Source organism: Homo sapiens, chromosome 16, assembly GCF_000001405.40.
Source record: "Homo sapiens chromosome 16, GRCh38.p14 Primary Assembly".
Lineage (NCBI taxonomy): Eukaryota > Metazoa > Chordata > Mammalia > Primates > Hominidae > Homo > Homo sapiens.
In genome coordinates this window covers 68681343-68706847 of record NC_000016.10, presented here as the reverse complement: position 1 = coordinate 68706847, position 25505 = coordinate 68681343, and the positions used below count along the sequence as shown (strand labels likewise).

At 50.3% G+C, this 25505-nt stretch overlaps 1 protein-coding gene and 1 pseudogene across 5 annotated transcripts in view, besides 4 other annotated features; both read right to left on the bottom strand.

The window, feature by feature from the left end:
- The window catches only part of CDH3 (cadherin 3), an 88462-nt gene that overhangs the window by 26924 nt on the left and 36033 nt on the right, over window positions 1-25505 (bottom strand). For 2 of the 5 annotated variants that reach the window (NM_001793.6, NM_001317196.2), the window contains 8 exons: window positions 24361-24546; window positions 22024-22265; window positions 21498-21643; window positions 19112-19336; window positions 14922-15128; window positions 11463-11593; window positions 10925-11071; window positions 6556-8657 (listed from right to left, as the gene is read on the bottom strand). In NM_001793.6, the coding sequence (NP_001784.2) occupies window positions 8448-8657; window positions 10925-11071; window positions 11463-11593; window positions 14922-15128; window positions 19112-19336; window positions 21498-21643; window positions 22024-22265; window positions 24361-24546 (1494 nt within the window). In that variant the 3' untranslated portion in view covers window positions 6556-8447. Of the gene's footprint in view, window positions 1-6555; window positions 8756-10924; window positions 11072-11462; window positions 11594-14921; window positions 15129-19111; window positions 19337-21497; window positions 21644-22023; window positions 22266-24360; window positions 24547-25505 lie in introns of those variants that run through there. The other 3 variants (XM_047433450.1, XM_011522800.4, NM_001317195.3) reach the window with 2 other exon arrangements.
- Window positions 2208-2502: a silencer, noted in NCBI's record as "tiled region #3013; K562 Repressive DNase unmatched - State 12:CtcfO". NCBI's record gives its function as "represses a minimal TATA promoter and a strong SV40 promoter by Sharpr-MPRA in K562 cells {active_cell/tissue: K562}" and the evidence as "EXISTENCE:reporter gene assay evidence [ECO:0000049][PMID:27701403]".
- Window positions 2982-3482: an enhancer, noted in NCBI's record as "H3K27ac hESC enhancer chr16:68737269-68737769 (GRCh37/hg19 assembly coordinates)". NCBI's record gives its function as "activates a minimal SCP1, AML or CMV promoter by ChIP-STARR-seq in primed H9 embryonic stem cells {active_cell/tissue: H9 hESC(primed)}" and the evidence as "EXISTENCE:reporter gene assay evidence [ECO:0000049][PMID:30033119]".
- Window positions 7033-7177: an enhancer, noted in NCBI's record as "145 bp 16:68733646 sequence used in MPRA reporter constructs". NCBI's record gives its function as "activates a minimal TATA-containing promoter with rs3118233 allelic activity by MPRAs in UACC903 melanoma cells {active_cell/tissue: UACC903}" and the evidence as "EXISTENCE:reporter gene assay evidence [ECO:0000049][PMID:36423637]".
- Window position 7105: a transcriptional cis regulatory region, noted in NCBI's record as "rs3118233 or 16:68733646 MPRA-significant variant associated with a GWAS melanoma risk locus at 16q22.1". NCBI's record gives its function as "allelic transcriptional activity by MPRAs in UACC903 melanoma cells {active_cell/tissue: UACC903}" and the evidence as "EXISTENCE:reporter gene assay evidence [ECO:0000049][PMID:36423637]".
- Window positions 20039-20522, bottom strand: HSPE1P5 (heat shock protein family E (Hsp10) member 1 pseudogene 5; annotated as a pseudogene).

Below are 25505 nucleotides of genomic sequence, written 5' to 3'. Positions count from 1 at the left end.
GCACAGTGGCTCACGCCTGTAATCCCAGAACTTTGTGAGGCTGAGGCAGGCGGATCATTTGAGGTCAAGAGTTCGAGACCAGCCTGACCAACATGGCGAAATCCTATCTCTACCAAAAAATACAAAGATTAGCTGGGTGTGGTGTTGTGCACCTGTAGTCCCAGCTACTCAGGAGGCTGAGGCACGAGAATCGCTTGAACCTGGGAGGCGGAGATTGCTGTGAGCCAAGATTACACCACTGCACTCCAGCCTAGGCAACAGAGTGAGACTCTGTCTCAAAAAAAAAAAAAAAAAAAAAAAAAAGGAAATGTGACTACTAGAACCAGCATCTTTGTCCCTCAGGCCTTCCCCAGTTCTGTCCCCAGGCAGCCAGCACAGCCCAGGTGTGTACTCCAAGGCCCATGGGGTGGTCAATGGAATGCTGTGCTGGGGGACAGTGGAGGGAGCTGGGACACATGGGTTGGGGTGCCACACAAGGAGCCTGGTGGTGCTGGATGGTGCTTGGGCTGGGTAGAGCAGGGCACTGGCCGCTGCTCCTGGGCTGGGACTCACCCTCCCCACGGAGGCACACTCTAGCCCAGTATTCTAGGTGTCTGTGAATTCAGATTTAAATCTGGCTCTCCCAATCACTGTGAGGATACACCTGTCCAAGTAGAAAGATAGAGTATCTTTTACTTAGGAGTTTGTGATGTCGATCTTGACACATTTGGTATGTGGGCCCTACACATATATCTACCTGCAGCCCCCATGTTAGTGCTGGGCTCTTTTTTTTTTTTTTTTTTTGAGACGGAGTCTTGCTCTGTTCCCCAGGCTGGAGTGCAGTGGCATGATCTCGGCTCACTGCAAGCTCTGCCTCCCAGGTTCATGCCATTCTCCTGCCTCAGCCTCCCGAGTAGCTGGGACTACAGGCACGTGCCACCACGCCGCGCTAATGTTTTGTATTTTTAGTAGAGATGGGGTTTCACCGTGTTGGCCAGAATGGTCTCGATCTCTTGACCTCGTGATCCACCTGCCTTGGCCTCCCAAAGTGCTGGGATTACAGGCGTGAGCCACCGCGCCCGGCTCACTGGGCTTTTTTACTGTTTTCTGCATTGCTATAACCCTAGCACCAAGAACAGTGTCTTGGGGCTGGGCACGGCGGCTCACGCCTGTAATCCCAGCAGTTTGGGAGGCCGAGGCAGGTGGATCACCTGAGGTCAGGAATTCAAGACCAACCTGGCCAACATAGTGAAACTCCGTCTCTACTAAAAATACAAAAGTTAGCCAGGCATGGTGGCATGCGCCTGTAATCCCAGCTACTCGGGAGGCTGAGGCAGGAGGATCACTTGAACTCGGGAGGTGGAGGTTTGCAGTGAGCCAAGATCGCGTCACTGCACTCCAGCCTGGGGGATAGAGCGAGACTGTATCTCCAAAAAAAAACCAGTGTCTTGCACAGAACAGGTGCTCAATGAAGTTGTTAAACGAATGAATAAAAAAGCCTTAGATGATGCCACATACTCAAGGGGACCCCAGAAGTGGCTGGGAATGCTGTGGCTTTTGTGCTTCAGGGCTACAGAGTCTCAGAGTCAGTGAGGCCAACTCCACCTTGCAGGAAGCCATAAGCATTACCTGAAGGGCACCTTCTACGGCCTGCCTGCCCCACGGCCCCATCTGCAACTGGAGTTTATATCCTTAATTGTAAAAAGAGCCCACCTGGCAATCAAGGAGATCTAGACCCCAAAACTGTCTCTGCTGCTTCCTGATCGTATGTGGCCATTAACCTCTCTCTCATTTTTTCGTTTTTTTTGAGGCAGGGTCTTGTTCTGTCACCCAGGCTGGAGTGCAGTGGTGTAATCACGGCTCACTGCAGCCTTGACCTCCTAGGCTCAAGGGATCCTCCTCCTCAGCCTCCCGAGTAGCTGGGACCACAGGTGTGTGTCACCACACTCAGATGAATCAAAAAAAATTGTTTTTTAATAGAGATGGGGTCTCACTATGTTGCCCAGGCTGGTCTGGAACTCCTGGGCTCAAATGATTTTTCCCACCTTGGCCTTCCAAAGTGCTGGGATTACAGGTGTGAGCCATCACGCCTGGCTGCAATTTCCTTTAAATAAAAGGGAACCATCGAAACTCTCCCCAGGGTTGTGAGGCGGGAGAACATGTAACTGACTCCATATTGACTGTCTTCATCAGTGTCCAAGGCCGTTCCGGCCACCCAGCTGACTCCCTGTGTGGCATGTGGCAGCCAGTGCCACTGTTCCCTTCCTCTCTCCCTCCCTCCCTGCAGACCTGGCGCTTGGGCTGGGAGTTCTATGCGCTGTGGTGGTGGTTTGAGTGAATGGTGCCCTCTGCTGGGCGTGGGGAAAGAGCCTTCAGGGAAATCATACCTGACACAGGCACTCCCTGCAGGTTGGGGAATCTCAGGGAATTCCTCCTGCTGGGAAGTGCAGTTTCCACCAAGGGAGCGCTAGCAGGCCTTGTGAGTCCCTACACTACCACAACAGTAGTGACAACACACAGTATCCTGTGCGCCAGGCACCCTTCCAAGCCCTTACAGATATTAACCCTTTTTTTTTTTTTTTGAGACGAAGTCTCGCTCTGTGGCCCAGGCGGGAGTGCAGTGGCGCAATCTCGGCTCACTGCAAGCTCTGCCTCCCGGGTTCACGCCATTCTCCTGCCTCAGCCTCCTGAGTAGCTGGGACTACAGGCGCCCGCCACCACGCCCGGCTAATTTTTTTGTATTTTTAGTAGAGACGGGGTTTCACCGTGTTAGCCAGGATGGTCTCGATCTCCTGACCTCGTGATCCGCCCGCCTCGGCCTCCCAAATTGCTGGGATTACAAGCGTGAGCCACCGCGCCCGGCCAATATTAACTCTTTTACTCGCCCATTTTATTATTTATTAATTATGATTATTATTATTTGAGACGGAGTCTCGCTCTGTTGCCTAGGCTGGAGTGCAGTGGCACGATCTCGGCTCACTGCAACCTCTGCCTCCCAGGTTCAAGAGATTCTCCTGCCTCAGCCTCCCAAGTAGCTGGGATTACAGGCACGCACCACCATGCCCAGCTAATTTTTAAATTTTTAGTAGAGATGGGGTTTCGCCATGTTGGGCAGGGTGGTCTCAAACTCCTGACCTCAGGTGTTCCACCCGCCTCGGCCTCCCAAAGTGCTGGGATTACAGGTGTGAGCCACCATGCCCAGCCTACTCCCCCATTTTAGATGAGAAAACGGAGACAGAGAGGTTATGTGGTTTGTCCAGGGCCTCATGCCTAGAAGTGCCGGGATTTGAACTTGTACTCTGCTGGGGGGATTGTTTTAACGGGAGGCCAGAAGGTGGGTTCTGCCTTTAGCCTGGAGGGAGTCGTTCCCTGGAGCTCTCCAGCAAGCTTCGAACTGGACACACAGGGTGTGGGCTGTAAAAGGGGCTTCCCAGGGTGACTGCTCCCACACTTTCAATGGCAGGCCCATCGCCTCAGGGCCCTTTCCTGAGTGGCCACCCCCCAGCAGTCCCCGGGCTGGGTCTTCTCCCTGAGTCCCTTTGTGGGCCCGGAAGTGAGTGAGTGAGGTCCATGCCTAGAAATGGGGGGCCGGGAATTCGGGGCCCCAGCTCCTCACCAACTGTCTAGGAATGAGAGCATGCCACCCTCCTCAGGCCTCTCTAGGGACTGGGAAAGCGCACTGTGGGGACAGGGCCTATCTGTAGCCCCTTTAGTCCCTTTGGGAAGAAAAAAAGATCGTTGGGTCAGTGACGAGGGAAAAGGCATGGTATGAAGTGAGGCCTGGCCGCTGGCCCATCTCTGTCCCCACTGGAGGGGCCATAGGGAGTGCCATCTTTTGAGCCTCTTTTTCCATCTGTAAAATGTCAGGGAGGGATTGGGGCACTTTTCAAAATGCTCTGGATTTGGGGGTTCATAAGAATACAAGCTGGGAGGATGAGGCTAGAGAGAAGGCTCTCTGGGTACCCCTGACCCCTTCTTCCAGTAAGCCTCCACTTTTTTTTTTTGAGATGGAGTCATGCTCTGTTGCCCAGGCTAGAGTGCAATGGCGTGATCTCGGCTCACTGAAACCTCTGCTTCCTGGGCTCAAGCGATTCTCCTCCCTCAGCCTCCCGAGTAGCTGGGATAACAGGCATGCCCCACCACACCCGGCTAATTTTTATATTTTTAGTAGAGACGGGGTTTCACCATGTTGGCCAGGCTGGTCTCAAACTCCTGACCTCAGGTGATCCTCCTGCCTTGGCTTCCCAAAGAGCTGGGATTACAGGTGTGAGCCACACCTGGCCAAAGCTCCACTTTTCTTTTCTGTTGGACTTGGATTCTGGGACTTTGCCTTTTAAAAGTCTGGGAGAAAAGATCACTTAATAGAATGAGTGCCAGGGGTGCTTTCAAGGGCCAGTCATCCAAGAGTGAACCCCACATTCAAGGAAGCCCTGATCTCAACCGGGACCACGATCCCCATCTCCTGCCCCCGACCCCACCGTAGAATGCAGGACTGGCTTTGAAGCATCTGCACAAGTGGATGCTGCAAGTTGTTTGACATTGTTAAGGGCAAAAAATTAGAATGACCAATATCTATGGATTGTGGTGACATTAAATAACACATCCAAACTGGATGTGTTGGGGACAGTAAGTCAATATGCCATGTTATGAAAAGGTATAATGCAAAGCATGTGTGTAGGCTGGGCACAGTGGCTCACGCCTATAATCCCAGCACTTTGGGAGGCCGAGGTGGGCAGATCACTCGTCGAGGTCAGAAGTTCGAGACCAGCCTGGCCAACATGGTGAAACCCCGTGTCTACCAAATATACCTATCTATAGATATATCTATAGATATATATATTTTTTAGATGGAGTTTCACTCTTGTTGCCCAGGCTGGAGTGCAATGGCACAATCTTGGTTCACTGCAACCTCCGCCTCCCGGGTTCAAGTGACTCTCCTGCCTCAGCCTCCCAAGTAGCGGGGACTACAGGCGTAGGCCACCACACCCAGCTAATTTTTGTATTTTTAGTAGAGACGAGATTTCACCATCTTGGCCAGGCTGGTCTCGAACTCCTGACCTCATAATCCGCCCGCCTCAGCCTCCCAAAGTGCTGGGATTGCAGGCGTGAGTCACCGCGCCCGGCCCAAAAATATTTTTTAACTAAAATACAAAAGAATAGCTGGGCATAGTGGCAGGCGCCTGTAATCCCAGCTACTTGGGAGGCTGAGGCAGGAGAATCACTTGAACTTGGGAGGTGGAGGTTGCAGTGAGCTGAGATCGTGCCACTGCACTCTAGCCCCGGGGGGAGAGTGAGACTCTGTCTCAAAAAAAAAAAAAAAAAAATTGTGTGTAATGCACAGGAGAAACAGATCCTGGAAGGAGGCACACCAAAGTGTTGAAACACAAAATTCAAAGGACCGATGGTCCTCATCATGGCCAGCACATCAGTTGTTTCTGGTTAGTGTCCACTCTGCGTGGTTAGCGCTGGTGTCTTACCAATGCAAATGTTTTTACTTATTACAGGCACTAAGGATCAGAGTCCTAAGCTTCTGTTTTGCAGATGAGAAGCAGGCCCAGAGTGAGAGAGTGACTTAATATTGTCCCCATCACAGAGCCCAGGCTCTGATTCTTTCTAAACCTCTCGGGGGCTGGTGACTGGTTCCATTGCCAGGGGACTCTACATCCATCCACCGAGGCCAGTTGAGGCTGGGAAAGGCTGTTTTTCCTCCAAATATCTCAGGGGAGGAAGGCCAGCCTAAACAGGGGCTGCTTGGTTTCATGATTAGCCTCTGCTGAAGATAGAGTTTCTGATTTATCCAGGCTTCTCTGAAGGGAGTTGAAGATAACGGGCAGCAGGTGTTTGCTAGCAGAGACACCCAATCCTCCCACACTCCCTGTCAGCAAAGACAGCCCTGGCAGAGGGGAATCTGAGGCCCCAGCTCAGTGGGAGAGGCAGGAGGCGGCTTTGTCCTGAGGGTGCCATGGACCAAGGACAGGTGAGCTTTCTCATCCGACTTCATACCCTTTTGTTGTTGAGATAGGGTCTCACTCTGTCGCCTGGGCTGGAGTGCAGTGGCGTGATCTCGGCTCACTGCAACCTCCACCTCCCGGATTCATGAGATTCTTGTGCCTCAGTTTCCCAAGTAGCTGGGATTATAGGCGCCACACCCAGCTAATTTTTGTATTTTTAGTACAAAAATGTGTGTGTAGGCCGGGCACGGTGGCTCACGCCTATAACTCTGCACTTTGGGAGGCCGAGGCGGGCGGATCAGGCCAGGCTGGTCTCGAACCCCTGACCTCAAGTGATCCACCCACCTCAGCCTCTTAAAGTGTTGGAATTACAGGCGTGAGCCATGGTGCCCAGCCCCAACTTCATTTCCTTTTGGTTTCTCCATCCAAAGTCTGAGGCTTCAGGCTCCTTGGCCTCATCCTTCAGAGTCTTGGCAGCAAACCTGAGTGTGCAGGAGCATCCCACGGAGGGCTTGTCAACCCACAGCAGGGCCCTGCCTAGAGGTTCCGATTCAGCAGGTGGCACCGATAACTCCGGTTCAGGGTCTGTGCTTTGAGCAGAGACGCTTTACAGAATTAGTCATCCTCATGGAAGGAAATGTTTATTTCAACATCAGCAATTTCCTCAGCTTCACTTCAGATTCTTTTGGCTAATTGCAAAGATGACTTTGAACTTCACGTTAACAAGGGCACAAACAGAATTGTTCTATCACTGCTGCCTATTCCTGATTCCTGCATTTATGCCCTGGTATTGTCAGGAATGTTCCAATTTCACTGACATCTTGGGTAGGTTCTCTTAATTTTGTTTTGCTTGATTTCGATGATGACCAGATGTCATTTAAAAAAACAAATACAATGTGGCCATTCTTTAAAGGAGAAAGTCCCCTCAGAGGGTGATTGTGAGGATTTAGAGGAAATAATCGAAGTCCTGTCTGGCCTTTAAAAGTACTGAATAAATGGTAGCTGTTACCAACTAACAGATTGCATGGACCATGTGCCAGATATTAATTCACTTAATCTCCACAAAAACTCCCCATTTTGTAAATGTAAAATCTGAGGCAACTGGAGGTTAAATGATGTGCCAGCGCTGGGCGCGGTGGCTCAAGCCTGTAATCCTAGCACTTTGGGAGGCCGACGTGGGCGGATCACGAGGTCAGGAGATCGAGACATCCTGGCTAACACAGTGAAACCCCGTCTCTACTAAAAAAACACACACACTCAAAAAAAATTAGCTGGGCATAGTGGCAGGCACCTGTAGTCCCAGCTACTCGGGAGGCTGAGGCAGGAGAATGGCGTGAACCCAGGAGGCAGAGCTTGCAGTGAGCCAAGATCACACCACTGCACTCCAGCCTGGGCGACAGAACGAGACTCCGTCTCAAAAAAAAAAAAAAAAATGTGCTAGCAAGTAGCAGAGCTGGCTGTTCCCCAACCCCTGCCTTTCAACAGGGACCCCTCCAGCATAGAAGAGGAAGTCGTCACACACTGTCCTGCAGGGAGGGCAGCCGCTGTTCCAGAAGAGACCTTGCTGGGGCTGTGGAGGGGCTCAGCCTTGGGGTAAGAGGTTAATGGTTCTCTCTCATGGAGCAACTGACTTTGCAAAGGAGGGCAAGTCTCCCCTCCCTGAGCCCACTTAGGCATGGAAGCTGACCCTGAGTATCCCCTGCCATTGAGAGGAAGCTTGGGTGAAGCCAGCAGGGTAAACAGAGCCCACTCTTTTTGCAGAACTCTGAAAATTCTAAAAACCATTGAATTGTAAACGTTAAACAAGTGAATGGTATGGTATGTGAGTTAGATGCCAATAAACCTTCTATTTAGAAAACAGTTCACTCCCCAGGCACCTCTGGGAAAAGTTTCTTTAATAAAAAAGTTCTAGTACATATACACGATTGTCCTCACCCTTCATCTATAGCAACGCAACAGGGAAAATAAAAAATAAGGGGCAACCTAGGCACACTCAGTATAAAAACGCAGAGATCCATCCGAATGGGAGGCATTGGGGTCTGGAAACCAGAAATGCAGGACGGCCAGTGGGCCCAGCAGCTCTGGGCTGCACTTTTGAAGAACTTTCTCTAACGTTTTGAAGATAGCATTAAAAAAAAAAATTAAGTTGCACCAGGAGGCCTAAGAAGGTTCCATTCCAGAGAGAAAGTCCACTGTAGGTCAGTCACAGCAGGCCCAGGCCCAGGACACAGGGTTGAGCATTTTACGGCAGGTAAGAGGCTTCTGGAAACTTGGCCTCTGAGGCAACCCTGGCCCAGGTGGAGAGGTTTTCAGTGCTGAAGTCAAACTGCCCACATTCCTCCATCCTGAAAGGCTAAGGAAGCCACCACTCTAACGTCAGACTCATAGCCTGTCTCCGCCAAGTTGCTACGGCCACTTCCTGACAAGCTCCGAAGTCCTCAGCTGAAGGGGGAACTGAGACCCCTTGGAGATGCTCTGTGGCCTGACGTTTGGTCCCCAGCCCTGCAGGCAGGCCGCCTAGTCGTCCTCCCCGCCACCGTACATGTCTGCCAGCTTCTTGAAGCGGCTGCCCCACTCGTTCAGATAATCGTAATCTTGGTCTTGGTCGGAGGCGGAGGAGGTGAGGGAGCTCAGGGACGCGGCGTCGGAGCCGCTGCCCTCATAGTCGAACACCAAGAGGGTGTCGTAGGGCGGGGCTGTGGGGTCTGTGTTAGCCGCCTTCAGGTTCTGCGGCAACAGAGAACAGGTAGTTAGGAGCGGCGGGTCCTGCCTCTTGCCAGCTGCAAGCCTCCATTTCCTCTCTGTGAGCCCCTCTCTCCCCTCCCCTAAAGGTTTTGGAGGTAGAAATGAAAGAATGCGTTATTCATGCAGAATTCATTCACTCAGGGACCAGCAGACAGCAAGTGCTCAGTGCAACACAGGCCAGGGGGTAAGGGCAAGGACTGAAATCAGACAGCCCGGGCCAGAACTCACACCACACACTAGCTTTGTGGCCTTGGGCGAGTCCCTTAACCACTCTATGCCTGTTTCCTTGTCTGTAAAATGACAATAGTTTTTTTCTTCCTTTTTTAAAGGATGCATGCCTGTGACACAGCCTCGGGAGGTACTGAGGACATGTGCCTCCGTATAGTTTTAAAGGAACAGATGAATGAGTAAATGAGTAAATACCTGTAAAGCAGTTATTAGAATAGCACCTCGCAACAATAGCTATCATTATCTAATAAGCGCTACATGCTAGGTCAGTAGTTCCGAAACTTAAATTATCTGGAGAATCTTTTATAAATTCTGAAGCCCAGGCCACACCCAGTTCAATTATATCACAATCTTTGGAGGTGAGCTGAGGCATCAGTGGTTTCTGAAGGTGCCCAGGTGATTCCAACACGCAGGCAGGGTCGGGAACCACTGTGCTGGCACTGTCCTAGCTGCCTGCTCGTTCAATCCTTGAAGTCTTCTACAGCAGAGGCTCCAAACTTTGCCCCCCAGGTGCAATCACCTGGGATCTATAATCCAAACCCAGGTAGTCTGGCTCCAGAGTATTCAACTGCTATATGTGTTGAATAAATGAATAAATCATTCCTAATTTTTTTTTTTTTAAAGATGGAATCTCCCTTTGTTGCCCAGGCTGGAGTGCAATGATGTGATCTCGGCTCACTGCAACCTCCACCTCCTGGGTTCAAGCGATTCTCCTGCCTCAGCCTCCTGAGTAGCTGGGACTACAGGCGCCCACCAGGACGCCCAGCTAATTTTTTGTATTTTTAGTAGAGACAGGGTTTTACCATGTTGGCCAGGATAGTCTCAATCTCTTGACCTTGTGATCTGCCCGCCTCAGCCTCCCAAAGTGCTGGTGGGATTACAGGCATGAGCCACTGTGCCCGGCCTTTTTTTTTTTTTTGAGATGGAGTCTCCCTTTGTTGCCCAGGTGTGGGGGGCGCACGACAAGACATTCAAGCCTATGTAAGAGGCATGTGAGGTCGAGGCATGGAAAAATATTGAGGCGCTGTGTGCATGTTGTTTGTACACAAGACTAGATCTCCTGGACCTTGAAAACAGGACAGGGAGTAGTATGTGTGATAAGGAGCGCTGAACACAGCCTCCTAAAAATGTGGTTTGAGTGTTTTTTACAAGGCCATATGTGCCTCATACCCGACCGCCAAGAGCCACCTGGTGGATGTCTCTTGTTTGTCTAAATTGTAGTTTAAACAAGCTCTCTCAATAAATACCTGGCAGACAGATCTTAGAGTGACGCTCTCTCAAAGGAACTGCTCCCCGCCCCGCTCAGCTAGAATTGTCTGAGTACTTCATTCTCGGCATTCACTACAGCCATAAGTTGCACCCAGGTGCGATCTTGGCTCACTGCAACCTCCACCTCCCACCATGTTGGCCAGGCTGATCTCAAACTCCTGACGTCAAGTGATCTGCCCACCTTGGCCTCTGAAAGTTCTGAGATTACAGGCGTGAGGCACTGTGCCCAGCCTCCTAATCATTTTTGTTGTTGTTGTTGAGATGGAGTCTTGCTCTGTCACCCAGGCTGGAGTGCAGTGGCGTGATGTCGGCTCACTGCAACCTCTGCCTCCTTGGTTCAAGCGATTCTTGTGCTCAGCCTCCCGAGTAGCTGGGACTACAGGTGCCCGCCACCATGCCTGGCTAATTTTTGTATTTTTAGTAGAGATGGGGTTTCGCCATGTTGGCCAGGCTGGTCTTGAACTCCTGACCTCATGATTCACCCGTCTCAGCCTCCCAAAGTGCTCAGATTACAGGCGTGAGGCACCGTGCCCAGCCCCTCCTAATCATTTTTAACCACTCTGCAAGTGAGTTCTATGGAGGAAGAAACAAACCCCAGAAGTTACTCAAATAAGCCAGAGGTCAAAAGCTGGTTGGTGGTGGAGTCAGAATTTGAACCCAGACCCAAGACTCCAGGCCCATGCTTGTTCTCCTGTGTGGCTGGTGCTGGGCTTGAATAAAGGGTGGCCCTCGACTGGCCTGCCACGCCTCACCTCAATTATAAAGTTGCCGATTTCATCTGGGTTGGCTGGCCGAGGACGGTACATGGGTGTCGGGATGATGGTTGGTGCCACGTCATTGCGGAGAACCACCTCCGGCCTGGCCTCCAGACCTCGGTGGAGCTGGGTGATGTCATAGTCCTGTGGGGAAATGCAGGAGAGCAGGTGACTGAGGACTCCTGTCCCCCACTCCCCTGCCACTTACATCTCACCCCACACCCCCTACCCTTTGGATACTCTGGCTCATGGGGAGGTCTTACAAGACAGATGATGTCACAGATTTTGGAAAACCCTCGTTTCCATCCTCCCTTGTCCTAGCAAATTAAACATAGGCTTGAGGTTAACTTGGCTAGGGCCAAAGAGACTACAGCAATGGACCAGAGAAGTGCTGGAGGATGTTAGAAAAGGAAGACGCATGCTTCATGCCAGGGCCTGGTCAACACAGCTAACTTGGTCAGTTGGTTGACCCAACAGCCCTGCCAGTGGCCTTAGGGGCATCCACCTCCCAATCCCAGAGCCCCCAGTGCCCCACCTGGTCCTCTTCGCCACCCCCCTCTTCGCCATAGTAGAAGACGTTGTCACGGGTGTCATCTTCTGGGAGTAGGAGGGGCTCCTTGATCTTCCGCTTCTTTCTCACCAACAAAAGCAGCACCAGCAGGAGGACTGCAAGGGTTGGGGAGTGTGAGTGCTCCCTCTGTAACCACACAGTGGGCCAAGACCCCCAGGCCCTCAGAGCCCCTCTAACTGCAGATGTCCTCACTCAGTAGCCAGAGCTTAACATGCTACAATGGCTTTACTTGCACCTAGGAAAACTTCAACTCTTTATCAAGGCTGGCAAGATTTGGTCCCAGCCTATGCCTCCAAGTCCCCCTACCCACTAAGGTCTAGGCACATTGGCCTCCTCTGTGTTCCTTGAATACCCCCAGCAACTTCCCCTTAAGAACCTTCATACAGGCTCCTTCCTCACCTGGCAGACTCTATGCATACACATGGCTCCCACATGTCAGCTCTCAGCTTATAACACCTCCTCCTAGAAGATTCTGACTTCCTTCTCCTCACCCATAATGCTGTCAGTCTAACCAGATTGGTGGTACTGATCCTTAAGAAAACCTTTCGTCGGGATGTCGGGATGGGAACCTCCCAGCAGATGTTGTCTTTCAATGAGACTCTCTTTTAGTCACCAGATGTCCCCTAATTAGCCACAGACTTCAAGAACAAGATAATGCAACTTTCATAGGGTACAGTAATCTAAACTTACGTGGAATGCAGTGTTGGAATTTTTTTTTTTTTTTTTTGAGACAGAGTCTCACTCTTGTCGCCCAGGCTAGAGTGCACTGGTGCAATCTCGGCTCACTGCAACCTCCGCCTCCCAGGTTCAAGCCATTCTCCTGCCTCAGCCTCCCCAGTAGCTGGGATTACAGGTGCCTGCCACCAAGCCTGGCTAATTTTTGTATTTTCAGTAGAGACAGGGTTTCACCATGTTGGCCAGGCTGGTCTTGAACCCCCACCCTCAAGTGATCCAACTGCCTTGGCCTCCCGAAGTGCTGGGATTACAGGTGTGAGCCATTGCGCCTGGCCGGAATTTTTTTTTTTTTTTTTTTTTTTGAGAGGGAGTCTCGCTCTGTTGCCCAGACTGGAGTGCAGTGTCAGGATCTTGGCTCACTGCAACCTCTGCCTCCCAGGTTCAAGTGATTCTCCCACCTCAGCCTCCTGAGTAGCTGAGATTACAGGGGCCCATTTATTTATTTATTTATTTTTGAAACAGAGTCTCGCTCTGTCACCCAGGCTGGAATGCAGTGGCGTGATCTCAAATTTTTGTATTTTTAGTAGAGACGGGGTTTCACCATGTTGGCCAAGCTGGTCTCTAACTCCTGACCTCAGGTGATCTGCCTGCCTCAGCTCCCAAAGTGCTGGGATTACAGGCATAAGCCACTGTGCCCAGCCCCAGTGTTGGAATTTTAAAAGGGCCTGGCTTCAGTGATGTGGTCTGAAAGGCTGGCAGGCTATTTGGACATGGGGGGAACTGGCCAACTGGGGATCCTGGCTGCCTTCTCTCTCATGCCTACACACAGTTAACCCTGTATTAAGAGGGGACCCTCTAGCCATCTCTCTATGGCAGTTCGATTTAAGAGCATACACCACTGCTCAGGATCATTACTTTTTTGCCTGCTGATGGAACTGCTGTCTGTCCTTGGCCAGACAAAACAGACCCAACCTTCCTTGGGAGTCCACGGGTTCTGAAGATGCATGCACATGTGGGCTAGACAGTAACCTCTCCTCTCCCGAGTCTGGGGGAAGGCAAGACGCCAAATGGACTTCTCTGAACCCAGGTCTAGCTGCCTACTGACACCTCCACTTGGACTGGCCTGGCAAGTCTCTTCCCATGGTCCTTCCCAAAACGGCAAATGGAAATGCCATGTTTCTCCTTAAGCCGAAAGCCTTGCGATCATCCATGGGTCTTACCCTAATTCCACACATCAATCTGAAGGGACTCTACCTTGAAACATGACCACCTCTGACCACCTCAATGCTGCCATCCTAGCCTGAGCCTCCCATCACCTTTTTACCCCTGGATTATGGCTACAGCCTCCTAGATGGTCTCCCTGCCTCCACCTTCGCCCCCATATAGTCTGCTCAGCAGGAATCTTGCAAAACTTAAGTCAAATCACATCACCCCTCTGCTCAAAACCTTCTGATAACTTTCAGTTCTACCCAGAGTCTTCACAATAACCTATGAGGCCTGACATGATGGTACCCTGTGCCTGTCACTGCTCTGACCTAATTTCCTACTTTCTTTTTTGTTTTGTTTTTCTAAAGACAGAGTCTCGCCCTGTTGCCCAGGCTGGAGTGCAATGGTGTGATCTCGGCTGACTGCAACCTCCATCTCCTGGGTTCAAGTGATTCTCCTGCCTCAGCCTCCCAAGTAACTGGGATTACAGGCATGTGCCATCATGCCTGGCTAATTTTGTATTTTCAGTAGAGACAGGATTTCACCACATTGGCCAGGGTGGTCTCAAACTCCTGACCTCAAGTGATCCACCCACCTTGGCCTCCCAAAGTGTTGGGATTACAAGTGTGAGCCACTGCGCCCAGCAAAGAGCATGTTCTTGTTGTATTCATATGATTGATCTCTGACTGACGATGTGTGTTGTCTATATTAAGACCAAGTCAAAATGTGGAAAAAACAACTGTGATAGGTTCTATCTTTAGAGCCAAGAAATTTGTTTTTAACTAAACATTTCCTCCCACTAGACCAGTAATTTGCAGACTCTAGCATGTATCAGAATGCCTTGGGAGCTTGTTAACATGCAGATTACTGGGTTCTATTCCTAAATTTCTGAATCAGTAAGTCTGGAGCAGGGCCTGAGAAATTGCCTTTCTAATAATAGCAAATTCCTGGTGATGCTAATGCTGTTGGAAACCACCCTTTCAGAACCACTGTGCGGGCCCCTCCAGATGACCTGATGGCAGGGCCGAGTCTGTTTGCTCACCACTGTATCCCCAAAGCCTGGTACATTCCACAAGCCCCAGAAAGACCTACTGATTGACTGATGCTCCTAGAATTAGGAGTTTAAGGAGTGGACCGGGCGCAGTGGCTCACACCTGTAATCCCAGCATTTTGGGAGGCCAAGGCAGGTGGACTGCTTGAGCCCAGGAATTCAAGACCAGCCTGGGCAACATAGTGAGGCCCCATTTTTACAAAAAATACAAAAATGAGCTGGGCGTGGTGGCCCACACCTGTAGTCCCAGGAACTTGGGAGGCTGAGCTGGGAAGATCATTTGAGCCTGGGAGGCAGAAGTTGCAATGAGCCGAGATCATGCCACTGCATTCCAGCCTGGGTGACAGAGTGAGACCCTGTCTTAAAAAAAATGTTTAAGGAGTGGACGGGCAATGTTGGTGGCCTCTTAGTTCCAGGAGTTAAAGCTCAAGGTAGAATCCAGTCTTTCAACTCCCCCATCCTCAGGGAGGGGGTGGGGGCCTGGTACTCACACAGCAGAGCCAGGACAGCCCCCAGCACAGGGAGGATGAAACCTCCCTTCCAGGGTCCAGGGCAGGTTTCGACATGGCCATGGCAGTCGCACACAGTGGCCCTGATCACCGTCAGCTGCTCTTTGTTGCCATGGTCAGACAGAGAAAGGTGCACGTCATATGTATCCTGCTTCAGGAACTTCTTCAGGGACAAGACCACTGTGTCACCTGGAGTGAACAGATCATTGATTAGCTGTGGGAACCATCAGTGCGGGGATCTGAGTACACCATGAAGAAAGTTTGAGAATACGGCTTCCACATGTGGGCAATGCAGAGAAATACTCCACAAGCACACTTTGGAAAATAGCAGTAAAAGCTGATCTTTGGCTAAAGCAAAATTCACCATAATGAAAAGGATTATTGGGATAGAAAAATTAATTTGTCATTTTACTTTTAAAAAAATCAATAATCACAGTATTTTTATAACATGAAGTTTTAAAAGCCATGTCATGCAGGACCAATAACTTCTTTGCATCATTGGCTGCTACACTGTTTTTTTGCTTCAAAAAGAATATTCTTCCTAAAAGATAGCTAACCCATTTTTTTTTTAAAGTAAAAGCAACTTTATTAAGAAAGTAAAGGAGGGCTGGGCGCAGTGGCTTATGCCTGCAATCCCGGCACTTTGAGAGGCCGAAGTGGGCAGATCACGAGGTCAAGAGATCGAGACCATCCTGGCCAACATGGTGAAAACCCGTCTCTACTAAAAATACAAAAATTAGCCAGGCGTGATGGCACGTGCCTGTAGTCCCAGCTACTTGGGAGGCTGAGGCAGGAGAATCACTTGAACCTGGGAGGTGGAGGTTGCAGTGAACTGAGATCATGCCACTGCACTCCAGCCTGGCGACAGAGCAGGACTGTCTCAAAAAAAAAAAAAAAGAAAGTAAAGGAATAAAGAATGGCTACTCCATAGACAGAGCAGCTGATAGCTAGCCCAATCTTATATGAAACACCCATATTTCCAACTGAGCATTCAATTTTTTTGAGACTAAGTCTTGCTCTGTCACCCAGACTAGAGAGCAGTGGCGTGATCTCAGCTCACTGCAACCTCCGCCTCCCACGTTCAAGCTATTCTCCTGCCTCAGCCTCCTGAGTAGCTGAGATTACAGGCACCCGCCACCATGCCTGGCTAATTTTTGTATTTTTAGTAGAGACAGGCTTTCACCATCTTGACCAGGCTGGTCTCAAACTCCTGACCTCGTGATCCACCTTCCTCGGCCTCCCAGAGTGCTGGGATTACAGGCGTGAGCCACGGTGCCCGGCCTTCAATTTTTTTTTTAGACAGAGTCTTGCTCTATCACTCAGGCTGGAGTACAGTGGCGCGATCTCAGCTCACTGCAACCTCTGCCTCATGGGCTCAAGCGATTCTCCTGCCTTGGCCTCTGGAGTAGCTGGGACTACAGGTTTGCGCCACTACACCCAGCTAGTTTTTGTATTTTTAGCAGAGGTGGATTTTGTGTCAGGCTGGTCTCAAGCTCCTGACCTCAGGTGATCTGCCCCACCTCGGCCTCCCAAAGTGCTGGGATTACAGGCCTGAGCCACAATGCCAGGCCGCATTCAATTATTAATAAAACTAAACGCACATGACTTGGTTATGTAAGTGCTAATGTTGAGCAGATCCGATCAGATGCTAACCTGTGTTATCACAGCATTAGTGATCACACAAATGCAGGAATGTCAGAAATGAGGCTGCAGCAGGTATTGGGCTAACTGGCCTTCCAAGGCCCAGGGGGTGGCAGGCTAACCACAGAGCAGAAGCCAGGCCCAGCCCAGCCTGCACACTGGGCACCACTCGGGGGAGACTGCGTGGCAATCCCAGAGTGGAGAAGGGGCTATGTGTGTGGGTGACGAACATAATATCAGTGGCCTCTTTAAAGAAAGGCCTTTGGTTTAGACTCAACTTTCTCAAGAAGGGAGCTGTTAGCCTGTGTGGAAGTTTTTTCATCATGCAGGATTTGCCACAGCATTGCGGGTTTCTACCACTAAATGCCCGTAGTGCCCCCAATCACTGGGGCAATCAAAAACAACCCCCACGTTTCTACCCCCACCCCCTCCCCGGGTTGTCAGCCTATCTCAGCACAGATTTCAAGTTAAAATGCTCTGCACTCTCGCTGGGCTCCTCTTAGTCAAAGGGCCAGAAGGCAGAATCCACTCTGTCCCCATTTAGTGCCAGGAGGCAGAGACAGCTCTCCAGTCTGAACAACTAGTCGACCATGTGGAGTGGCCAACATGGGGTATATGTCACTAAAACATCTCTGCCATCCTATAAGGCTGATTTCTCAGTTGTTGATGACGATGGCAGTGGTGACTAAATGGGCACTTTTTCTTTCTTTCTTTTTTTTTTTTAATTTTTCTGAGACAGAGTCTCGCTCTGTCACCCAGGCTGGAGTGCAGTGGCGCGATCTTGGCTCACTGCAACTTCCACCTCCCAGGTTCAAGTGATTCTCCTGCCTCAGCCTCCTGAGTAGCTGGGATTACAGGCATGTGCTACCACGCCTGGCTAATTATTTTTTATATTTTTAGTAGAGACAGGGTTTCACCATGTTGGCCAGGACAGTCTTGACCTCTTGACCTCGTGATCCGCCCACCTCAGCCTCCTAAAGTGCTGGGATTACAGGCATGAGCCACCTTGCCCGGCTAAATGGGCACTTACTAAGTGCCAGGCCCTACCCTGATCCTCACCATTGCTTTAAGAGGTGGGAACTGCTGTTATCCTCATTTTACAAATGCAGAAATTGAGGCTTAGGGAGTTAGGTAACTAGCCTGAGGTCACATGGAGTAGAGTCTAGATTAATTTCCCTGACAACAGAACAAGGGCAAACAGAAAAATGAAATTAAAGCCAAGAACCAGGTTATCAATACTGATCAATACTGTTACAGGTATTAATAACACTGGGTTTTGGCCATAATGCTTATGCTTTTTATTTTCCACACCATGGTGAGTGAGACTGCCTAGATTAAAATCCTGATAGGCCAGGTGTGGTGGCTCATGCTTGTAATCTCAGCACTTTGGAAGGCCAAGGCGAGAGGATCACCTGAAGTCAGGAGTTCAAGACCAGCCTGGCCAACATGGCAAAACCATGCCTTTACTAAAAAATACAAAAATTAGATGGGCATGGTGACAGGTATCTGTAATCTCAGCTACTCAGGCAGGGATAATTGCTTGAACCCGGGAAGCGGAGGTTGCAGTGAGCTGAGATTGTGCCACTGCACTCCAGTCTGGGAGACAGAGTGAGACTCCGTCTCAAAACAAAAACAAAAACAAAAACAAAAAACCCTAGTGACATTTTAATTTTATTTTATTTGAGACAGTCTCACTCTGTTGTCCAGGCTGGAGTACAGTGGCACAATCACGGCTCACTGCAACTTCCGCCTCCCGGCTTCAAGCGATTCTTCTGTCTCAGCCTCCTGAGTAACTGGGACTACGGGCACATGCCACCATGCCTGGCTAATTTTTGTATTTTTAGTAGAGACGGGGTTTCACCATATTGGCCAGGCTGGTCTCGAACTCCTGACCTGGTGACCCGCCCGCCTCAGGCTCCCAAAGTGCTGGGATTACAGGTGTAAGCCACTGCGTGTGGCCATGACATTATTTTTAAAGCCATAACGCAGCCGGGTGTGGTGGGCATCTTGTGGGCCACGGGGGCAACGGTCTCCTCTAGAACCTCAATCAGATGCTATTTATTAACCTGGTGGAGGTCTTTGGAATTCCACAGGACCCCTAAAAGACCATTCTAGCCCAACCGCCTTCCTGTGTAGATGGAAAAACTGAGGCCTCGAGAGGGAGGGAGTGACTTGGCCCATGTCACATAGCGAGAGTCAGGACCCAGCACAGTGATCGTAGCCAACACTCACTGAGCATGCTCTGTGCCAGGTCCACTTCACATGCTCTACATAGGTTCGATTCCTCGAGGCCTCAGTTTTTCCATCTACACAGGAAGGCGGTTGGGCTAGAATGGTCTTTTAGGGGTCCTGTGGAATTTCAAAGACCTCCACCAGGTTAATAAATAGCATCTGATTGAGGTTCTAGAGGAGATCATTGTCCCCATGGCCCACAAGATGCTAGGATAGGAACGTGTGCAGAATCCTGGTGTGGGGCAGATGCCCACCAGTGGGGCTGGCACCCCACCCGCTACCACCACTCACTCAGGTACCTTCCTCGTTGACCTCTGCCGTCCAGTAGATGTCTGAGTCATCTGTGAGCTGGGCCTGGAAAGGGGAGGTGTGGGGAGACAGGTCCTTGTCCGTGATGTTCAGCACCTGGCGCACAGGGCTTTGGTTGCAGATGGTGATCTGACGGGGCTCAGGGACTGGGCCATGGTCATTGACATCAATCAGTGTTAGCAGAAGGGTTCCCGTGCCAGTGGTGGGAGGGCTTCCTGTTTGTAATGACACATATGATGAGCTCCCTGTGACCCACCCAGTCAGCCTCAGGGGGGCTCCTCCTGTTTACCGCCCAGCTCTCACCTCTCAAGACCTTCCATGCCCTTGCTTCCAATACATGGCACATACATGCCAGTTGAGCCATCATTCTCATTTCTGTCCACAGCAGACATTACTAACTATCATGACACAGTTGCAGCCACTTCATCCAGACAGCCACTATAACCACAAGGCGAAACCTACCGGCTACTTCAGGGTTACTCCAGTGTTTGTCGATCAGCTTCAGGGAAGCTTCCCTTCACAGCCCTGCTGCAACCTCTCACCTGCCTGCAGGTCCTGGTTCATTACATGTCAACCAGAGGTGACAACTACGTCATAACCTCCCATCTGTTATGGTGTGGCATCACTAATCTGTCATGGCACTTTCCAGTCAGCCCCTATCAATCAATCACAAGGGAAAACTGACAGGCCAATTCAGGACCCAGTGAACCAAAAACTAAGGCTGAAGGGACTTTCCTAATGCTGATGTTTTATTTACTTATTTGAGAGTCTTACTCTGTTGCCCAGGCTGGAGTGCAGTGGCACAATTTCGGCTCACTGCAACCACCACCTCCTGGGTTAAGGTGATTCTCGTGCCTCAGCCTCCTGAGTAGCTGGGACTACAGGCGTGTGCCACCACACCCAGCTTATTTTTTTTGGTCATTAGTTATCATTAGTTTATTATAAGAGAGAAATATGGAAATTATTTACATGATGAAAGGTTTCAGAACTTCAGTGGAATGGGCAGCTTCACGTTGATGCCATTCCAATAGTGACTTATTTCAGTCTACGTACTTTCCAAGAATGTCACCATCCCTAAATAGGAGATAATCCTTGTCATCTAGAACTACTTTGGTGCCTCCATATTCTGGAAGAAGAACTTTATCTCCAACTTTCACGCTAACTGGTTGAATCCCTCCACCCTTTCCTTTAGAATCCGATCCAACAGCAACTACTGTTGCTGCAATACTTTTCCTTGAGATTTTTCTGGACCCATAATGCCTCCTTTGGTTACAGTTTCAGCGGCGCTCCTTTCAACCAATACTCGGTCAAAGAGTGGAAGAAACTTTCTAAATGCTTGTCCTGCCATGACTCCCTCCACCTCAGACTCGTACTCTGCTCTTGTGTAGCGCCGCAAGGAGAGACATGCGGTCTGACCCTGGCGACACGTGAAAAGACCGCCTGGGTGCAGGTGCACTCACCCCAGCCCTTGCCGCTCGCCCCGAGGCGTGCTGCAATTCGCCCCAAGGGCCCTGTGCAGGCCACTGATGCGGGAACTGGGAGGCGGCACACTCAGCTAATTTTTTATGTTTTTAGTAGAGACAGTGTTTTGCCATGTTGGCCAGGCTGGTCTAGAACTCCTGACCTCAGGTGATCCACCTGCCTCAGCCTCCCACAGTGCTGGGATTATAGGCTTGAGTCACCATGCCCGGCCCTAACTCTTATTTTTTAATTTTTCATTTTTTGTAGAGACAGGGTCTCTGTATGTTTCTCAGGCCAGCCTTGAACTCCTGGGCTCAAGTGATCCTCCTGCCTAGGCCTCTCAAAGTGCTAGCATTACAGGCCTGAGTCACCACACCTGGCTCCCTCCCAACTCTTGGGTTTTAGGGAAATTGGAATCATGGCCAGTCCCTAGGATCAGTCTTTTGTTGTTGTTGCTTTTTGAGATAGTCTCGCTCTGTCACCCAGGGTGGAGTGCAGTGGCACGATCTTGGCTCACTGTAGCCTCCACCTCCCAGGTTCAAGTGATTCTTCTGCCTCTGCGTCCGGAGTAGCTGGGACTACAGGTGCACACCACCACACCCGGCTAATTTTTTGTATATTTAGTAGAGACGGGGTTTCACCATGTTGGCCAGGCTGGTCTCGAACCCCCGACCTCAGGTGATCTACCTGCCTTGGCCTCCCAAAGTGCTGGGATTACAGGCATGAGCCACTGCATCCGGCCTAGGACCAGTCTTTAAAAGACTCCTCTGAAAGACCCCTTTGACCGTCTGGATTGGTTTGCAAATAGCCCTCCTCGACACATGTTCCCACCTGTGGAGGAAACATGCTGTGCTGTGTCATGTGACCTGAGAACCAAAAGTGGCCCTTGTGGGAGGGCTGGGAGGATGCTCTCACCATTGTCCATGGCCAAGACCATGACTTCATAGATGTTGTTCCTCACAAACTGCTCATCCTCACGGTCGAGGGTGCCCACAGCTGTGACCTGCCCACTGTCTGGGTCCATGGCTAGCCACCCTGCTGGGTCTCTCAGGATGCGGTAGCTGGAGAGGAAAAGTTGAGACGAGTACATCCAGAATATTTAGAATTCTGATGTCATCATTCAGGGCCTCCTCATACCAACTGGCAGATGGCCTCTGGGCTCCTAAGCAGGATCATATGGAAAATGCACCTCGCCCATAAACGGGGACCTAAAGCAGCAGGTGCAGGAGTCCCAGGAGGGATACATGACAGAGTGAGAAATACCTGCCCCCAAACCCCTATTCAGTCTTCAGCCTCAAAGAGGGTAGGAAGAAGAGAACCTATGCAGGAGGGATATTCCTATTTAACAATCTCTATGGTAATCAGAACAAACGTTGGCCATGATCACCCACCCACCAACTGTACCAGTACGTGCTGCTTACTGAGCCCAGCTCCTGAGTACCTGATCTTTTGATTCTCCTTGTCAGGGTCTTCTGCAGTGTAGACACACACAGGCTCCCCAGTGGGGATGCCCTCCTGGACCTCAACGACTTTGGAGGGTGGGACAAACACAGGTGCCTCATTCACATCCTCCACGTGGACCACTATGGTGGCTGTGGAGGTTGGGAGCTTCAGCACAAAAGGGGCCTCGTTGGTCACTTCAACGTACAGGGTGTGCTGGTTTTTGGCCTCAAAATCCAAACCCTAGGAGAGAAGAGGAAGAAGGACCTGGACCACCATTTTGAGAGGAGGTCCTGTGCAGGACAGTTGAGATGTGAGAAGGAAAACACCAATACTGAGGGGCTTGAGGCCCTCACTAGCAACAGTGCTGCCCTTTCTCTGTAACATAAACACTCCCGTGTTTCCTGAGTGCACATCTAATGGGGCCTCTCAGACCATCCTAAAAGTAACTGTATTAATAAGCCCTAGATCAATGGTTCCCAGTGGAGTGGTGGTGATGTTTGAGAAAACTGGGGGGCCTGGCATTGTGGCTCATGCCTGTAATCCCAGCACTTTGGAAGGCCAAGGCTGCTGGATTGCTTGAGACCATTATTTGAGACAGGATCTTGCTCTGTCACCCAGGCTCAAGTGCAGTGGCTTCATTATGGCTCACTGCAGCCTCGACCTTCTTGGGCTCAAGCTATCTTCCCACTTCAGCCTCCTGGGTAGCTGGGACTACAGGTGTGTGCCACCGCACCCAGCTTTTTTTTTTTTTTTTTGGAGACGGAGTCTCGCTCTGTCATCCAGGCTGGAGTGCAGTGATGCGAACTCAGCTCACTGCAACCTCCGCCTCCCGAGATCAAGCGATTCTCCTGCCTCAGCCTCTCGAGTAGCTGGGACTACAGGCATGTGCCACCACGCCCAGCTAATTTTTGTATTTTTAGTAGAGACGGGTTTCACCACGATGGCCAGGCTGGTCTCGAACTCCCAACCTCAGGTGATCTGTCTGCCTCGGCCTCCCAAAGTGCTAGGATTACAGGCATGAGCAATCGTGCCCGGCCCCAGCGAATTTTTTATACTTTTAGCGTAGACGGGATTTCTCCATGTTGTCCAGGCTGGATTTTCTTTTTTTTTTTTTTTCTCCATGTTGTCCAGGCTGGATTTTCTTTTTTTTTTTTTTTTTTTTTTTTTTTTTGAGACAGAGTCTTGCTCTGTCACCCAGGCTGGAGTCCAGTGGTGCGATCTCGGCTCACTGCAAGCTCCACCTCCCGGGTTCACGCCATTCTCCTGCCTCAGCCTCCCAAGTAGCTGGGACTACAGGCGCCTGCCACCACGCCCAGCTAATTTTTTTGTATTTTTAGTAGAGACGGGGTTTCACCATGTTAGCCAGGATGGTCTCGGTCTCCTGACCTCGTGATCCACCCACCTCGGCCTCCCAAAGTGCTGGGATTACAGGCGTGAGCCACAGCACCCGGTCTGGATTTTTTCTTTATTTTAGTTAGGACATTCTCTATTTTTAGAAATAATGAGTTAGGTTAGTTATATTATAAATGAACTTCATTTCACATCATTTAACAATGTCGAAGTGGCATTACAAAGTATTTGTTGCAGAAAACAGGACAGCAAACCCCAGTCTTTAAAATATATTATTTCATACAATATTTTATACCCTGCTTCTCAAACCACACCATTCTTCATAGTAAACCAGGAAGTAAAAGAAACTGATGCAAGATTAGGCCCATCTTCATTTTTTTCTTTTTTAGTGCTGATGGGATCTTGCTATGTTCACCAGGCTCATCTGAAACTCCTGGCCTCAAGTGATCCTCCCACCTCAGCCTCCTAAAGTGCTGGGAATAAGTGTGAGCCACTGCGCCCAGCCTTATTCAGACTTTTTGACCCAACCCACGTCCTATACCCCAATAAAAACAAAAATACATACACACAAAAAAGAGACTTTTTGAGAGGCAAGAGTGTGCCTCAGTGATTCAAAACATTTTATTATCTAAACACCTAGACATGAGTTTTAGAGTAAATGCAAAGTCAACATGGATTTCAATAAGATGGACTCTCTATGTGAGACTGATTCGGGGCAGCCATTGGACACTGTGGTCTGGGAGGAGGCTCCACTGATGTGCTTCAATTAATCAGTGACTCTTACCTATTTATGAAGTGGGCTCCTGGGTAAGATTTAGTTTGAACAAAGGGACTTCCCAACACAAGAGTGGTAGAACAGTGTTGGGAGCCACTGGGCTGGTACGATTCCTGGACTAGCCCACGGTAGACAGTGGCTCCTCATCCTGAAGGCTGCAGACCTGACTGCCCCAGGTATAGCCATTGTCTGAGGCCCGAACTGACTCACCTTCCTGGTTGTCAGGATGCCCTGGTTGCTCTCAGGGTGGGTGGTGATGGTAAAATGGTCCCCGTCGTCACCGCCCATGATAAGGTAGGTGGCACGCCACGCTGGTGAGTTGGGGGCGTCCAGATCAGTGACCGTCAGCCTCTGCACCTCATGGCCCACTGCATTCTCAGGCACATGGGCCTCGTACTGTCAGTGTGAGAAGCACAGCACTATCAGAGCAGAGAATGACTGTCCTACTCCAGAGGCTGAGAAGCCTCCATCCAACCTCAGGGGATCCCCATGCCTTTACCCTTTCCTGGACCACCCACCCACTTTGCGGGGTTTCAGGGTATACACAGCGGCAGGATGTCCCCAGCAGCAGCCTCACAGCTGCTGGCACAGACCACACCAATCCTGTGCCTGCTTTCCCTACACGCAGGGGCCTGATGTTCCAGAAATCTCACGGGTTTGCATGCCCAAGCCCCTGCCACGTGTAGCTATCTATCCAGCTGAGATCAGAAAGGAATAAGGAAGGTGGCAAGAAGGGCTAGGTGCCTGAATGGGCTGGGGCACTGAACAGAAATTTTTTGGAGGTTCTGGGACATGTGACAAAGACTGGAAAATCAGTTGCTCGGAACAAAAAATTTATTTATTTATTTTTATTTTATTTTTTTAGACAGTCTCAGTCTGCCGCTCAGGCTGGAGTGCAGTGGTGTGATCTCGGCTCACTGCAACCTCCACCTCCCAAGCTCAAGCGATCCTCATGTCTCAGCTTCCCAAGTAGCTGGGACTACAGGTGTATGCCACTGCACCTGGTTAATTTTTGTATTTTTAGTAGAGACGGGGTTTCGCCATATTGGCCAGGTTCGTCTTGAACTCCTGGCCTCAAAAGTGTTCTGCCCGCCTTGGCCTCCCAAAGTGCTGGGATTACAGGTGTGAGCCACCGCCCCTGGCGTCATTACAAATTTTTATTCAGACCTAATTAACGTTCAGAGTTGTCTAAAGATGGAAGGGGGAGGATGTAATTGGCACCTTGATTGGCACTGAGTCCTCTGCCTTGGAGGTACACAAGCATTCACTGGGAAAAGATGGGCAGGTGTAGGTACAAGGAAAATATGTTTTCAAATCAACAAAGATTTTCATATCAAGCACTTCTTTTAGGGCAT